The sequence below is a fragment of the Homo sapiens genome, chromosome 17 (genome assembly GCF_000001405.40).
Source record: "Homo sapiens chromosome 17, GRCh38.p14 Primary Assembly".
Classification (NCBI taxonomy): Eukaryota; Metazoa; Chordata; class Mammalia; order Primates; family Hominidae; genus Homo; species Homo sapiens.
In genome coordinates, this window is record NC_000017.11 from 32,721,341 (window position 1) to 32,737,107 (window position 15,767).

Genomic DNA, 15,767 nt, shown 5'->3' on the forward strand with positions numbered 1-15,767 from the left:
TTTCTCCTTCAATTCAAGGTTAGAAGTTCTCATGCATTCAGCCAAATTTTTGTTTAATTATGTTTTAGGGTTTATTAGGAATAGTAGAAAAGGGATAAAACTAGGAAGTAAATAACAGAGACGTAAAGATCGAGTTTCTGTGTATTTATGAAAACAAGGTTAAAGCAGCTGAAGGAGTAATTCAATAGAAAAAGGCAGCAGCTAACGATGAAAATGGATGGAGAATGTAAAAGGACATTCTTTGTTAATGTTAATATTATGTTAAGGAATGATAGGGACGGACAGCTCTGGTATATAGTAAGTGCTCCTTAAGTGTCAGCCATCATTATTAATATTATTGCATTAGTTTGCACTTTCGGAAAAGAGATTAAACTTCACGGGTAAGTAGAGAAATTCCAAAACCACCTACAGGCATCACTGATTCTATGAAGGAGCTCAGCTAGCAATCCTTCCCTCTGTGCCAATTAAGTTTTATACTACATATTAGATCATAACCCCTTTTAAATATAAAACCATGCTTGGCATAGATCCTGGTACACTGAAGATAATGAATAAATTATCACTGGATGAATCAATGAGGTCAAATGTATCCTACAAGTGTAAAGAATTTCTTTTTCTTCTCTGAATCTGTTATCTATCAGACACACACAGATGCACTTTGATTAAGATACAGAATACTCTGTAGTTAAATTAGGCAGTTTTGAGCTCTGCTGAGGGCTAGAAGTAGAAACGGGTAGTAAATAATTTAAGAAGTAGGAGAGATTTGAAGGATGTAAATTTACTTGCATTTTGAACAGAATAACAGTTTTCAACACCTAAAAAAAGAAACTCCGATAGTACATTTATCATGCTGTCCTACATGGTGAAAGGTAATGCCATTTTTTGCCTTTTTCTAGGCCCTGCTGTATTAGTTTCCTATTGCTGCTATAGCAGATTATCATAAATCTAGTATATTAAAACAACACAGTTTTATTATCTCACATTTCTGGAGGTCAGAAGTCTGAAATAGGTTTAACTGAGTCAAAAGTCAATGTGTCAGCAGGGTTGGTGTTTTTGGGAGCTCCAGAAGAAAACCCATTTTCTCTTATTTTCCAGCTTCTGGAGGCTGCCCACATTCCTTGGCTGGTGGCCCCCTTCCATCTTCAAAGCCAGCAATGGCCAGTTGAGTCTTTTATGATGTCACCTCTTCGTTCTGACTTTTCTGCTTCCCTCCTTCCCACTGAAGGACTCGTGATAGCACTGGGCTCACTTGGGTAATGGAGGATAAGCCCTTATTTTCAAGCCCATTTATTAGTAGCCTTATCTCCATCTGCAACCTTAATTCCACCTTGCCACAGCACATATCATGTTCATAGGTTCTGGGGATTAGGATGTGGACATCTGGGATGACTATGGTATAGTAATAGTAAGAATAAAAAATATTATCTACCAGCCTTTGTTCCTGGTTTCTGGCATAGCGCTTCAAAAACTTATGAAATTTCTTCAGTGACAGGAGTGTCTTAGTTATGATAATGAGGTGACTCATAGCTGGGCATCTAGATAGCTTCAGGATGGGAGCTGGTCACCAGAAAACTCCGTCATGTGCTGGAACTTACAGCTGCCTGACCTCTGGGCAGGTTAGGGGGACTAAAGATTAAGCTTAATCATGTGACCAAAGATTTAGTCAATCATGCCTTTGTGATGAAACGCTGATAAAACAAAAAAAACAAAACCTCAGGACGCTGAGCCTCACAACGGCGTCTTGGTTGGTGAACACATGGATGTACTCAGAGGGTGGTGCACCCTGATTCCAGGGGGACAGAAGCTCCTGCGCTTGGACCCGAGTTCTGTGAATCATTCTAGTGAATTATCAAACCTGAAGAGGGGGGTCATGGGAATCCTCAAATTTATACCCAAGTTATATATAAGGGCAGGTGTTCTGTGGACCTCACTTGCAGCTGGTGTCTGAAGTAAAGGAGAGTCTTATTAGGGACCCTGTCCTTTAATTTTTTAGATTAATGCTAACTCTGGGTAGTTAGTGTAAGAACTGAATTGAATTGTAGGACACTTAGCTGATGTTAGAGAGTTGCTGTTGCTATGCAGAGGCCACTATTCTGCCTAGTACACCTGCCCTTTTTCATCTTGTCATCTGTAGCAGAAGGAAAAACATGACCTCAATATCTTGCACCACCTCCCAGTAAGAGGTGGAGTCTCTACACCACTTCTCGAATCTGGCTTGGCCTGTGACATGCTTTAACCAGTAGAATGCAGCAGAAGCAACACTGGGTTACTTCTGGAAGTCCATCCTCGAGAGGGTCTGCCTGCCCTCTTGGACCACTTCTACCATGTGAAGAAGCCCGGGATTAAAGACTACATGAAGAAAAGATGCTCAGTCATCCAGGCACGCCATTTGAGTGAGCTCATCTTAGCCTATCTCGCCCCAGCTGACTGCAGCTGCTTGGTGAGCCCAGCAGAACTGCCCAGTCAACCCCTGAATCATGACAAAGAACCATTATTTTAAGCACTATATTTTACAGTGATTTGTTATGGATTGATAGATAACTTACACTTCTTCCCTATTCTGGAATACCAACCCTTTCATTAGATATTAAATTTTGGTATATTTTATTATAAAGCACAAGCAGAATCCTACTTTAAAAATAGTGATGTGTGATCAAACGTTCACTAAATCTGTAATGATTTTCAAGTGGAGCATCTATATTGGGGGAACAACTGTAGCTCACTTTAAAAAATGGCTTATAGTAAGTTTTTTAAAAAACTTAATAGGATGGGGAAGTCGGGCGGAGGCACTGTTTACTTAAGGATTTTCTACTAGTTTGCTGGAATAGAATGCCTTTACTTTTTGGTGAATAAACCAAGAAAAGTGGCACTGAGCACAGTAAATGCCAAAATGCTACCAGATTTATCTGCATGTTTGGCACCAGTGTAACAGAATAAGCATTGTACAAAATCAGAACACTTGAGTCTTGGCTGTAAATTCTCTCTGGAACTAATTAGCTAATTTATGAAATGAAGATACGGGGGCTTTCTTTGAGTAATGACAGACTAGGTAATTTAAACTGACACCCGTGCTGAGGGTTAACTAGAATAGGTAAACAAAATAAACAAAACGTTTGCCAGAAGACATGGGAGATCTAACAACACAGTGGAGAATTTACTGGGTCAGAATCCAGGAGAGGAAGAAAACCGTGGAGGAGAACCCAGGTTTGAGGCTGCCTTTTTTTCCTGGGGAAATTTGCCAGTTCCAGAGAAGGTAGATGGGATCTGAGTAGTGATTCTGGCAGCTTCATGGGCCTAGTGGGACAAAGATTAGCGAGCAAGGCCTGAAAAGGAGGGGACACAGGTAAACCCCTCTCACTTTGGGTTAGGATCCCACCAACAGGAATAAGGATGAAGTAGAAGGAGGCAGTCCTTTACAGAGCCCATAATTCAGCTTTGAATCACCTAAGTCCTTGAAATTGGAATAGCTGATTTGGAATACTATTGTTCTTAGGTAACTAAAAGAAGCAAAATTAACTCTTCCCTGAAGAAAAATCACATAAACTTGGGCCTCCAATTATTTCTGCAGATAATTTTGCAAATATAATATTTGGAACAAAATAAAAAGTAACCAGACATGTAAGTAGCCAAGTAAACTGGAATTAGAAACAGCAAAACAAAATAAAAAAATAAACGAACCTGCAGGTATCCAGACACTGGAGTTATCAGATAGAGATATTAAAATAACTATGCTTACCATGTTCAAGGTGACAAAAGACAATAATGAGAATTTTGTATAGAACCAGAAACTATGAAAAAGAACCAAGCCAAATGGAAACCTAGAACTGAAAAATATAATAAAGGAAATTAAGAACTCAGTGGATCAGTACAAGAGTAGATTAGAAGTAGGTGAAGAAGGCCAGGTGTGGTGGCTCATGCCTGTAATCCCAGCCCTTTAGGAGGCCAAGGTGGGTGGATCACTTGAGGTCAGGAGTTTGAGACCAGCCTGGCCAACATGGTGAAACCCCGTTTCTACTAAAAATACAAAAAATTAGCTGGGCATGGTGGCACGCTCCTGTAATCCCAGTTTACTCAGGAGGCTGAGGCAGGAGAATGTCTTGAACCTGGGAGGCAGAGTTTGCAGTGAGCTGAGATCGCGCCACTGCACTCCAGCCTGGGCAACAGAGCGAGACTCCATCTTAAAGAAAAAAAAAAGAAATAGGTGAAGAAAAAAAAAATGAATGTACTAGAAGTTAGGTGAGAAGAAATTTTCTGGAATGAAGCATGGATAGATAAAAAGATGGAAAATAAAGATGGGAGGCTAAGAGGTATAGAAGACACAGTGAGATGGAGTTCTAAAGGAGAGGAGACAGAAGGGACAGAAGAAATATTTGAAAAGAACTTGCTAAAACTGATTAAAAAAAAGGGGAGCTACAAATGGAAGAGATTCTACAAACTACAAGCATATTTAAAAAAAAATCTACACCTAAGCACATCATAGTGAAACTTCTGAAAATCAAAGCAGCCAGAGGGAAAAAAAAGATTACCTTAAGGAGCAACAAAGAGACAGACTGACAGCTAACTTCTCAAAAGAAACTATGAAATCCAGAAGACAAAGGAACACTATCTTTGAAGTGCCAAAAGACACTGCTAACGTAGAATTTTACACTGAGCAAAAATATTCTTCAAGAATGAAAACAGTATAGAAATATTTTTTGGTAAACAAAAACAACATTTGTCACCCTCAGATTTCAAATATAATAGAGTGAGGTTAAGGCAGAAGAAAATGATCCCAGATGGAAGGTCAACAATATAGGGGTTGGGTGCAGTGGCTCACGCCTGTAATCCCAGCACTTTGGGAGGCCAAGGTGGGCAGATAAGTTGAGGTCAGGGGTTTGAGACCAGCCTGGCCAACATGGTGAAACCCCATCTCTACCAAAAAATACAAAAATTAACTGGGTGTGGTGGCGTGCACCTGTAGTCCCAGCTACTTGGGAGGCTGAGGCACAGGAATTGCTTGAACCCAGGAGGTGGAGGTTGCAGTGAGCTGAGATCATGCCAATGCACTCCAGTCTGGGTGACAGAGTGAGACCCTGTCTCAAAAAAAAAAGAAAAGAAAAAGAAAAAAAGTCATGCTTTTCATGAGTAACTTGGCAAAATAAAACCATGATATATTTTAAAAAAATAGGAAGAGAAAAAAGATAAACAAGTGAATAAATAGATATAATAGATGTAAATTACAATCTAAATAGATATATATTATATCTATATCATCTAATAGCTATAACAGATATAATAGATATAGATATTAGATAATATAGATCATATAGGTATAAATAGCTATAGGTAATATAGATACAGATAATATAGATATAACATCTATATCTAATATAATAAATATATTTATATCTAAATAGATATAATAATGTCTTACTGGCTTTAAAAATGTATATGCATGTTATTTTGGTATATAATTAAAATACATGACCAAATATATTTTGGTATATAATTAAAATACATGCATGTTATTTTGGTATATAATTAAAATACATGACCAAAATAGCATACAAGTTAGGAGGAAGGTAAATGGAATTAAATTGGCCTTGTATTTCCTAGGAAGGAGGCAAAAGTACCAAATAACATTAGATTTTTATATTCAAGAATGATATTGCAATAAGTCAAGTAACCACTATAACAGTATTTAAGTAAATCTTCCAAAATAATAAAGAGAATAAATAAAATGATAAAAAATACTTGCAACACCAGTGGAGGGGAAAGAGTATGATCTTAGGTCTAACTAAACATTTTGACTCAGAATACTCATAGGCCACATTTGGCACCAATCTCTTCAAAAGGCCAAGAACACGGTTTGCTAGCAGGTAGCGTCAGTGTCCTTGGAGCAGTCCACACAGCAGTCAAGTGACAGCTTAGGTGTAAGGAGATGAGATCCACATTGGACATGTGTGCGAGGTGAACTTGGCTTAAAAGCCTCATGCCCCACAGGACCAAATATCTCTTAGAACAGCTCAGAAGACATAGCTTCAAGGGTCCAGCAAAGGACAGACCTAATACAGGAGTCACTAAGCTCAGGCAAACCCAAAGTATATAAAACCCACCAGACATCATTCTCCCAAGACAGATGCAATTTACTGACAGGGATAATTCTGACCATAAGTAATGTTGTTAAGTGATACATGTCTTACTAGGTTGCCAGAGGAACAGAGCTAGAAATTTAACTGAGGTTAAGCTGTCAAGGGGAAGGAATAAAGTTTTGTTTACCTTTCTCCCACAATAATCAATCTAAAAGAAATACAGAAAAAAAGAAAATAAATACAGAAGAGTCAAATAGAAGCATTAACAAGATGCCTGATTTAAATGCAACACACACTATATTAAAAGTAAATGAACTAAATGATTTATTCAAAAGACAAAAATTGTCAGACTGGATTAAAAAAATCAAAGCTAACTATATGCTACTTATGAGAGACACACTTGAAACATAAGGATATAGAAAGATTGAAAGTAAAAGGATGAAAAAGATATACCATGCAAACTCTAGCCAAAAGAAAAGCTGGCATAGCTATATTATTCATGCAAAGCAGATTTCAAGGCAAAAAGCAATATGGAAATAGAGATGTTTCATAATGATAAATGACTCAAACACCAGGAAGATATAACAGTTCTAACTTGAATGAGCCTAACAAATTCTCTAAATATTTACACAAAAAATCAAAGGTACAATAAGGACAAGCAGATAAATTCAGAATCAAGGCAGAGTTTAAAACACCTTTCAATGTTTACAAAACAAAGAAGTCAGGAAGAAAATAGAAAAGTTGAACAATATTATTAGCAAACTTGACCTAATGGACTTGTATAGAATATTGAATGCAATTTTTTTTTTTTTTTGAGACAGTCTCACACCGTCACCCAGGCTGGAGTGCAATGGCGTGATCTCAGCTCATTGCAACCTCGGACTCCCGGGTTCACGTGATTCTCCTGCCTCAGCCTCCCGAACAGCTGGGATTACAGGGTGCACACCACCATGCCTGGCTAATTTTTTGTACTTTTAGTAGAGACAGGGTTTCACTATGTTGGCCAGGCTGGTCTTGAACTCCTGATCTTGTGATCTGCCCACCTTGGACTCCCAAAGTGCTGGGATTACAGGCATGAGCCACCGCGCCCGGCTGCAAATTATTTTTTAAAGACAAACAAAACATATACATAAAGCAAATTTAGCAAATTTCTAAAAATTGAAACCACACAGAGTATGTCTTTTGATGAAATAAGACTAAGCTAGAAATCAAGAGCAAAAAGATAATGAGAAAATCCTATATGTTGAAAATTAAGAAAAATACTTCTGAACAACTAAACCTTAGGTCAAAAAGGAAATTACAATGTGATTTGGAAAATATTTTGGACTGAATAATGTATAAAATCATGTAGGCAACGCAATCTTATAAGGCATCATATGAAGAGTATTAATACAACTTTATTAACCAGAAAATAGTTGAATGGACTATTACCAGTACTGAGTGATTACGCATAGGAAGTGGCAATATTGGATGAGACACTAACAACCAACTAAGAAATGGGGGGAAGCCCTTTCATCCTGTTTAGTGATATAAAAGTCTTTGGATAAGGAATATAGTGGGAATACTTTCTCTATATTTAATCAGCATTCTGTCTCAATTTATAAATGCTGCCTCCTCTCTCATTTATAAATATCCAGACTGACTCAGCCTAAGAAATCCTAAATTTGGCAAATTCAGAGTGTCTTATAAAGGTTAAATTGCAAAAGTTAATAGTGATCTTATTCTCTTGAACTTTTTCACCTGTCTCTCCCTATATATTTTACGGGAAAAAAAACACCATTTGTGAAAGTACACCAATCAGTATATAGATTAGCTAGACTACACTATCTAAATATACCTCTATTTAACTTGCTTTGAACACTGTCAAATAGTCATAGCAAATTCAAGTTCATTTAATAATTTACTGACAATCTGTTTTAGTACCTTATTAGGTATTAATACATAAAATTAACAAAACCCATTCTCTAGATTCAAAAGATTTATAATCTGGGTGGGGATACAAGTCATGAACTGAAGGCACTATGGACTCTGTGAAAGTGAGGAGCCAGGGACGTCTACTTCTGGTAATGGAGCACTAGGTAATACTTATCAATCTTCCTGATGAAGTTACTAAAAAAAAGTGCTAGACAAAATATGGGGAAAAGGTTTTGGTAAGTGCATCTCGGAGCTAATAAGATAGTGAGGAAAGACCTGGCCAAAATCAGAAAACTAAAATCAAGTTGAGTGAGCCTACACCTCATGGTTGTTTTTGTCTTAGAAGCTACTGTTGATATGGAAAAGACAGTCATAAGGCTGAACATAGCTTCTGGCTTTCATGGGACTTGGGTACCAAAGTTAGAACCTGGGGTCTTGGATGAGGGACTGTAGTTTGGTCTGGAATCCTGAATAGCTAAACCAGGGAGATAAAGGTGAATGGACGACAGCCCAACACTGAGCTACTACAGGCCCTGAAATGGGATAAAGGTGATCCCAGACTGTCGAACTGATATAAACTTTCAGTTGTTCTATTTCCTTACGGGTGTCACTAATAAATAGCATATATCTGGATTCTTTTTCTTCAGTCTGAATTGGTTTTTATCCATTTACATTCAATGTAATTACTAATATATTTATATTTGTTTCTACCAAATATCCAGCTTTCCCATGTTCTTTTGTTTCTTCTTTTTTATGTTTTTGTTTTGGGGGCAGGGAGGATTCTTTGTTTTTATTGTTTTTTTTTTTCTTTTCCTTCTCTACTAGTTTGGAATTTATAACCTCTATTTTCTACTATTTTCAATGATTATGTTAGAAAATTTTCACATGTATTTTTAACTCATCAGAGTTGAACGTTAAACAATATTTTTATTATTTTTTTCTGAACTAAGGACCTTAAACACTGGAATTACAATTACCTGCTCTTCTAATTGATATGCAATTGTTACTGTGATAACTCTAATCTGTATTTTCCATTCCACAAAATATTATTTTACAGAGTTCATTTACATGCATCTACGTATTTACCAATTCTTTGCTCTTCTTTTCTTTTCGCATTTCAGAGTTTCACTTAGTATACTCTTCCTATTGTCTGATGAATATCTTTTAGAATCTCCTTAAGTGAGGTTGATAAACTCTCTGTTTTTGGTTTTTGTTTTTCAGAAAGATTCTTTATTGTGCCTTTGTTCTGGAAAAAATGTATTCCCTGGGTATAGAATTTGGTTTACGTTTATTTTCTCTCAGCCTAATTGTCATACTTTTGAATCTAATCTGTCTTTTCTCTGGCTGCTTTTAAGATATTTTCTTTGTCTTTAATGTTCTAGGATTTTACTAGGTGTCTATATGCAGATTTCTTTTAATTTTTCTAACTTCAGATTCATTGGGCTTCCTGATTCTGTTAAGTCCTTCAATATTCTTGAAATTCTCAGGAATATTTCTTCAAATATTGTTCTATCCATTTTCTCTTCTATAACTCTGATAAGATACATGTTTGACCACTTTATTTTCTCTTCCACGTGTCTTTTTTTTTTTTTTTTTTTTCAGAGACAGTCTTGCTCTGTCGCCCAGGCGGGAGTGCAGTGGCACAATTTTGGCTCACTGCAACCTCTGCCTCCCGGGTTCAAGCGATTCTCCTTCCTCAGCCTTCTGAGTAGCTGGGATTACATGTGCATGCCACCACACCTGGCTAATTTTTTTGTATTTTTAGTAGAGACAGGGTTTCACTGTGTTAGCCAGAATGGTCTTGATCTCCTGACCTTGTGATCTGCTCGCCTCGGCCTCCCAAAGTGCTGGGATTACAGGCATGAGCCACCAGCCCCCATGTGTCTTAATGTTTCTTTTATATGTTTCATTTCTTAGTCTAAGTGGAATTCTGGATAATCCTTCAGTTCTTATTTTCATTTCACTACTTTCTCTTCAGCTTTATGTAAACTGATGTTAAACCTATCCATTGAATTTTTAATTTTAATTACTTAGTTTTTATTTCTATCAATTGTCTAGTTGCTTGTTCTCTCTCATTTTCTGGCCTTTCATTTCTTGATGTATATTAAGCATTCTCATATTCTCTTTCTGATCATTTCTGTATCAGAAGTTTTCATGAGTCTGAACCTGCTGTTTGTTGTTTAGTTTGCCTTTTACTTATAGTATCTTGTAGTGATTCTTTACTGTGAGCTAATTTTCCTTAGAGCTTTGTGGAAATTCTTTAAGGTCTGGTATTGGTGGCCCATCTGGAGCAGCTGCTGCCATGATGCTGGCTGCAGTGGGGGAGGTGCATCTGGGGTTGTGTGCTCCGTGGAGCTGGCAGTAGCCAGGAACAGGTGGAAGCCCCGCCCCCTTCCAAGTTGGCTGGGTGGGATCATCGCACTTCCTGGGTGCAGCTGTGGCCGCCCAGCTACGGTGCAGGACCCAGGCATCCCTGTGCTCTTGGGGGCTGGGAGCAGGCAGGAGCCCCAACCTCCTGGGTGAAGCCATAACCACCCAGCCATGGCTGTAGACCTGGGTACCTCTGCACTCCCGGGGACATGGGAAGCTCCCCTGCCCCTGTTGGCTTGGATGTGCTGCTCCCAACGTCTGGCCTCTCCCTGGTCTTGGCGCCCACTCTGATTTCAGAGCAAAGTTGAGGCTGAGCCTGGGCACTGTTGCAACCCAGCTGGGTATGCGCACACTTGGGGCAGTGCTGATATGCCAGCCCCCTGCTACCTTGGCCCCCTTCAGACTTTGGATGCCAAAGAGCACAGCGGAAGGCCAACGGGGTGCTGAGGGCAGCTTGGTGTGGGCCTGGAGGCACCCCTTGGCACGAACAGTCTGGACTCTGTGGGTGCTGTGGATGGCAGGTTAATGGTGGCAGGAGGCAGACAGGTGCCTGGGCAGAAAGGGGTGGGTCGCTGGTGAAATCCCACCTTTGGGCCAGGCTGCCAGTTCCATGGTCCAGAGTGAGAACTTATAGTGCTTTTTCCAGGCCTGCCTATGGACCAATCAGCGCACACTTCCCCTCCTCTGAAGCCCATAAAAACCCCAGACTCAGCCAGACTCAGGCAGACAATGGGATAACCTGCCTGTGGAGAGGAGCTACCCACCATGGGTCTCCTCTCTGCTGAGAGCTGAGCAGATGATGGGACGACCTGCCTGCAGAGAGGAGCTAGCTTCATACTGCTGGTCTCCTCTATGCTGAGAGATGAGTAGACAATGGGAGGACCTGACTGCAGAGAGGAGCTACCCACTGAGATTCTCCTCTGAGCTGTTCTGTCACCCAATAAAGCACCTCTTTGCCTTGCTCACCCTCTATTTGTATGCATACCTCATTCTTCCTGGACACAGGACAACAACTCAGAATCCACTGAATGGCAGGGCTAAAAGAGCTGTAACACAAACAGGGCTGAAACATGCCCTTTGCTTGCCACGTTGTGGGTGACGAGGAGTGAAGAGAGAAGGAGAAGAGCTGTGGCCCTTCAGGGAGCCCAGACCTAGGAGCTCCCCAAGCCAGGGCTGATATACTCTTTGGGGCTCTGCAGTTCCTGGTATTTCCAAGCTTCTGGGCACCACTGCATTCCCCAGTGCCAGCCATGGAAGCTGCTTGCAGTATGCCTGGTCCAGCCGCAGCCTCACAGGGAACCAGTGTCTGTGCCGGCACCTGGAGCTGCCCGCTCTGCTGCAGCCTGTGTGCTTGGCTGTGTGCAGTGGCTGGACCTTATGCTCGCTCATTCACACTCCCCTTGCCATTCTGTGCCTGGCTCACCCTTGGCAAGTGTGGAATCCAGGCTGGTAGGGCAAGCTGAGTGCAGCCTGCGAGGCTGAGTAGGTGGAACAAGCCTGGCAGGCTTGAGCAAAACTCAGGCAAAGGCACCACCAGGCACAAAGGTTTCTGGCGAGAAAAGTCACACCCCAAGGATTCTGTGACAGTATGAAGATAGTTTCCTAAGGAAAACAGTTTTACTTGCTTTTTTCAGATGCCTGGGGCAATTATAAGACCTGGACCACCTTTAATCAAATTGTCAGTTTGAGGCTTTTTCAAGCTACCCAGATAGTATGAGTTTGGGTTGCAAACCACCTAAAAGCTCACTTATGATTATAAATTCCCAAGAGAGATTCACACCCCCTCCACCCATGGCTGAGTGCCAAGGACCAAGACAGGCAGTTTTCCTTACTGATAATGGGGAATTACTTCTAGTTCACTCTACATGTAGCCCTTTAAAGACTCACCATTGTGTGTGTGTGTGTGCACAGAATTCCTTATTAGATACCCTACTTTGGGCAGGCCCTGGGCTTCACTTCAAGGACCCAGCCTTGAATAACTATATTCAAAGTTACACACTTCAACAAATCCCCACAGGGTGAGGGGCAGCTTTAGGGGTTTTTTCCTTCACTCAGTTAACTTCTGTATTCACTCAGCTCCTGGCTTGTATATTTCTTACTTTTCGTTAGTTCATGGCTAGATTCAAGATGTTGATTTTTATATTTTATCTAACATTTTAGTTGTTTTCAGTTGGCTTTAGTGGGCACCTCATTCACCATGTTGCCAGAAAATGCATTATTCATATATTTTTGAGGTCTTTACATCTGTGTTTCTAAGTTAAATTGATCTCTAATTTTATTTTCTCATATTAAGCTTGTATTAAGGTAATATTAATCTCATTAAATGAGTTGAGTAGTTGCCTCTCTTCTTCCCACCCTCCAAAACAGTTTCCATATGATAGGGATTAATGGCTCCACAAAGGTTTTATAAAACTGATTTGTAAAACCATCTAGATCTGATGTCCTTGGCAACGTTGGGAAAAGGTGGATTTATCATCAGTTATTCGGATTCTTTAAGGTTACTGATATATTCAGGTTGCCCCATTCTTCTTGAATTAATTTTGATAACTTTTTTTTTCTAGAAAACCATCTACATTTTCAAATTCATTGGCATATAGTTATCCATAATATTCTGATACTTTAAAAAAATCTCCATAATGTCTGCACAGTAATAGCCCTTTTTTTGTTCATAATTTTTTAATTTATCAGCTTTATTAGAGGTCTTATTGATTACTTTTTTGTTCCATTACTTTAAAGTTTTACTATTTTAAAAAATATTTTCTTACTTCTTTCTTCAGGTTTTCTTTGGAGTTCCTTTTCTGGCTTCTTAAGTTGTGCTTAGCTCATTAACTTTTCAGTCTTTCTTGTTATTTTACAAAGGCAACAAATGGATCACTTTAGCAGTATTCTATAAATTCTGACAAATTTTTTGTCATGCACTTCCTAACATTTTATAATTTCCATTGTGATTTCTTCTTCAAACTATGACCTGTTTAGGAGAGTACTTTTAAAGTTCCAAAACATATTACATTTTTTTAATGCTGATTTTTATTTTACTTGCTTTGAAGATGAAAACTGTATCTGTATATGCACTTCTTCAAAATAGTTGAGATGGCTGAGCATGGTGGCTCACATCTGCAATGCCAGCGCTTTAGGAGGCCGAGGTGGGTGGATGACCTGAGATCAGGAGTTCAAGACCAACCTGGTCAACATGGTGAAACCCCATCTGTACTAAAAATACAAAAAAAAAAAAATTTAGCTGGGTGTGGTGGCACACACCTGTAATCCCAGCTACTCAGGAGGCTGAGGTGTGAGAATTGCTTGAACCCAGGAGGCAGAGAGGTTGCAGTGAGCTGAGATCGCACCATGGCACTCCAACCTGGGCAACAAAGCAAGATTCCATCTGAACACACACACACACACACACACACACACACACACACACACACGAACCCAAAATGGTTTCCTTTGTCATCTATTATGTGGTCAATTCTTGTAAATGTTCCATGTATACTTTATTTTATTATTTTTTTGAGATGGAGTCTCGCTCTGTTGCCCAGGCTGGAATGCATTGGCACCATCTTGCTCACTGCTATCTCCACCTCCTGGGTTCAAGTGATTCTCCTGCCTCAGCCTCCCAAGTAGCTGGGACAACAGGCCACCATGCCCAGCTAAGTTTTGTATTTTTATTAGAGACAGGGTTTCACTATGCTGGACAGGCTGGTCTTGAACTCTTGACCTCAAGTGATCCTCCTGCCTTGGCCTCCCAAAGTGCTGGGATTACAGGTATAAGCCGCCATGTCTGGCCTTGATGTATACTTTAAAGGCATATGTATTTCCTATTCTCTGGGTACAGGGTTCCTTTGATCTATTAGATAAAGTTTAAATTTGGTTTTCAAAGCTTCTGCATTCTCACTAACATTTTTGTCTGCTTCATCTATCATTTATCTTTCTGACAGCACTGGTTTAAAATCTCCCACTATGATGGTGGACTTGTCAATTTTTCCTTTAAAATTTTTCAGGTTTTTTTTTTCTTTATAGAATTTACAAGAAGTATGGGTATGTTGTTAGGTACCATGTTAGTTCAACATGGCTTGTCTTGGATAATTTTGATATCACTAGTTTATCTGTATTAATACTTGCTTTCTTAAATTCTATGTTCTTTCACATGAATGTTGCTTTTAACCGTTTTTGGTGAGAGGTGGCTTGATATCTTTCTACGTCTTTGTTTTTGAGCTTTCTGCATAGTGTTATTTATGTGTGTCTCCTCTAAGGAGCATATAGCTGGATTTTCCACCTATCTAGTCTGCTTAGTCTATTTACATTATGATGAATACCAATTATTTAGATTTATTTCTATCATATTATTTTGTTCTAAATGCAACTCTTTTTTTTTTTTTCTGCTGTCCTCTAGAACCTCTCAGTCTGGCTTTACCTTCTTGCCTTCTATTGTACTGATAAGTTGTCTATATTCTTCTGCTTATCTCTGCTCCCTCCCTTCTCCCCTGATCTCCATACACACATGGATTGGGAAGCTGTAGCAGAGATTGCTAGGCTAGTTCCCTACTTTATGTCCAGTATCTTTTTCTTACTTTAAAACAGAATTCTTATTGCTAGCTGAGTGCACTGCTGACCAGAATGAAAATGTCCTTCCCAGCTTCCCTGACAACTCTATATAGCAAATGGGGTGTAGCTAAAGTGTGTCAAACTTCCAGGAAGTCTCTTTAAAAAGGAGGAAGTTCCAGCTGCCATCATGGACCAGGAGGTTGGGTGCCAAGCACTAGGATGGTAGAGCGGAAGGACAGAAAGAACTTGGGTCTCTAATAACTTTGGAGCTGCCATGCCAGTCCTGGGATGCCTTCTTCTATACTTCATTTATAGGAGAGAGTAATAAATGTCTCTCTTATTTAAGCTACTAATTCAGGGATCTGTTTCATTAGAAGGTGAATGCAATTCCTGATACAGAAATTATAGAAGGTTCTGGAATTTTTATTTCTTTACATGGCACATTAACTACCAAGTTTAGAAAACAAAACAATTCTTTTTCTAGTTAATTGACTAACTGTAGTTAACTGAATATTTAAAAGTCTTTCATGAAATTCAGTGTTCAACTGTTTCTTGTGTCCTGTGTCTTCCTTCCAGGTTCACTTTTCTTCTTGCTGGATGAAGCAGGCTGCAGTTGACATGCAAAGAAAAGCTGAGATACAAGAGTGAAGAGTCCTAACGGCATTCCAGCCTCCAGTGCCAGTGTCCTTACCCCTGCCTTTCTGGAGGTTTGATTATATAAGCCAACAAATTGTGCTTATATGCGGTCACTTGAGGCCAAAGAATCCTGACAAAAGGAGATAGAAAGCGACCGCACAGATGTGTTCCTGTGGCATTTGCCTAATTTATCTATAGTGAAGTAACCAGAAACAGTATGGATTCAAATTC

General features: G+C 39.5%; 1 protein-coding gene across 5 annotated transcripts in view; it reads right to left on the bottom strand.

Moving 5' to 3' along the window:
* Positions 1-15,767, bottom strand: part of MYO1D (myosin ID) — a 384,603-nt gene that overhangs the window by 228,819 nt on the left and 140,017 nt on the right. The window lies entirely within an intron of this gene.